Raw genomic sequence first — 2,216 nt, forward strand, 5'->3', positions numbered from 1 at the left:
TTTGCATTTTAAAAATCTTTGACTTGGCCGGGCATGGTGGCTGATGCCTGTACTCCCAGGAGTTTGGGAGGCCAAGGCAGGTGGATCATGTGAGGTCAGAAGTTCGAGACCAGCCTAGCCAACATAGCAAAACCCCATCTCTATTAAAAAATGCAAAAATTATCTGGGTGTGGTGGCGCACACCTGTAGTCCCAGCTACTTGGGAGGCTGAGGCAGGAGAATCGCTTTAATCTGGGAGGTGGAGGTTGCAGTGAGCCGAGATAGTGCTACTGCACTCCAGCCTCAGCAACAGAGGGAGACTCTGTCTCAAAAAAAAAAAAAATCCCCAAGTTTGACTTATTTTCTTAGGATGAATCTCCACATTTAGGTTTCCTGGGTTGAAGAATATAAACATTTTTATAACTCTTGCTGTGTGAGGCCAAAATGTTTTCTGAAGAATCTACACCTGTGTCAGAAGTCTGTCACTGAGATAATGAGTGGCACTTATCTTATGGATTAGTACTGTTTTTACTTATTTTGTTTGTTTGTTTTTTGAGATGGAATCTCTCTCTGTTACCTAGGCTGGAGTGCAGTGGTATGATCTCAGCTCACTGCAACTTCCACTGCCCGGGTTCAAGTGATTCTCCTGCCTCAGCCTCCCAAGAAGCTAGGACTACAGGCACGCACCACCATACCCAGCTCATATTTGTATTTTTAGGAGAGATGGGGTTTCACCATGTTGGCCAGGCTGGTCTTGAACTCCTGACCTCAGGTGATCTGCCTGCCTTAGACTCCCAAAGTGCTGGGATTACAGGTGTGAGCCACCGTGCTCAGCCCTGTTTTTATTTTGAATGCCATGGGTGGGGTAAAATATTTCACAATCTTTGCAGACTTTAAAGTTCTCCATTTGGTCCTGGCAGTCTCAATAAATCAAGGCTCAGAGAAGTCTATTTGCTTTTCTAGGGGCACACAGCAAACCAGTGGCAGATCCAGGACTCCAGCATTCTGTCCACTGCGCCATTGTGCCTCACTGTGTTACAGGAAAGGGATCCGGATCCAGACCCCAAGAGAGGGTTCTTGGATCTCCTGCAAGAATGAATTCAGAGTGAGTCCATAGAGTAAAGTGACAGCAAGTTTATTAAGAAAGTAAAGGGATAAAAGAATGGCTACTCCATAGACAGAGCTGTCCCGAGGTCTGCTGATTGCCCATTTTTATGGTTATTTCTTGATGATATGCTAAACAAGGGGTGGATTATTCATGTCTCCCCTTTTTAGATCATATAGGGTAACTTCCTGACATTGCCATGGCATTTATAAACTGTCATGACGCTGGTGGGAGAGCAGCAATGAGGACGACCAGAGAACACTCGTCGCCATCTTGTATTTGGTGGATTTTAGCCAGCTGCTTTTCTGCAAACTGTTTTATCAGCAAGGTCTTTATGATCTGTATCTTGTGCTGTCCTCCTATCTCATCCTGTGACTTAGAATGCCTTAACCGTTTAGGAATGCAGCCCAGTAGGTCGTAGCCTTATTTTACCCAGCCCCTACTCAAGATGGAGTTGCTTTGATTCAAATGCCTCTGACAATTGGAAGGGAGGCCAAGAGGGGTGCAATTCTGGATCCCACTAGGAAGGAATTGGAAACTTTGGATGTCAACAATGGCCACGGTCTCTGTATCTGATAGTTCTTTTTTCTTTCCTGCCTCAGTTTATTTGTACAAAGAGCACAGGAGGACAATAGTCCCGTGGGGTTGACAGCCCAGGGGTTACACCAGTCCTTCCATCCTGGCCTGAGCTGGAAGTGAAGCTGGACCCCAAGCCTTGGTTTGATCCTTGGCCTTGGCCTTTGGCCGACAGAGCCTGAGACGCTTGGCAGTGCCAGCACAAGGCAGGAGAATCACTTGAACCTGGGAGGCAGAGGTTGCAGTGAGCTGAGATCTCACCACTGCACTCCAGTGGGGTGATGCAGGCAGGTTGATGGAGCTTCCCAAGCTTGGAGTGGGTGATGCAGGCAGGTCGATCAAGCTTGTGGCTGATGCCCTTTGGGATCTTGGGCTTAGCCTCCTCGGGCTTTGCCAGGGCCTTGATAGCCTCGGCACGTGCACCCATGGCCTTGGCATTGTTGGCCTGCATCTTCTTCAGGCTCTTTTTGTTGTGCTTCTTGGCAAAGCGCATGTTCCTCAGGAACTTAGGGTCCACCCCCTAAAGAGATTCATATCTTTGCGATCAGAATTTGTT

At 47.6% G+C, this 2,216-nt stretch overlaps 1 pseudogene; it reads right to left on the reverse strand.

The window, feature by feature from the left end:
* RPL29P25 (ribosomal protein L29 pseudogene 25) lies at positions 1,961-2,216 on the reverse strand (annotated as a pseudogene).

This window comes from Homo sapiens, chromosome 12 (assembly GCF_000001405.40).
Source record: "Homo sapiens chromosome 12, GRCh38.p14 Primary Assembly".
Taxonomy (NCBI): domain Eukaryota; kingdom Metazoa; phylum Chordata; class Mammalia; order Primates; family Hominidae; genus Homo; species Homo sapiens.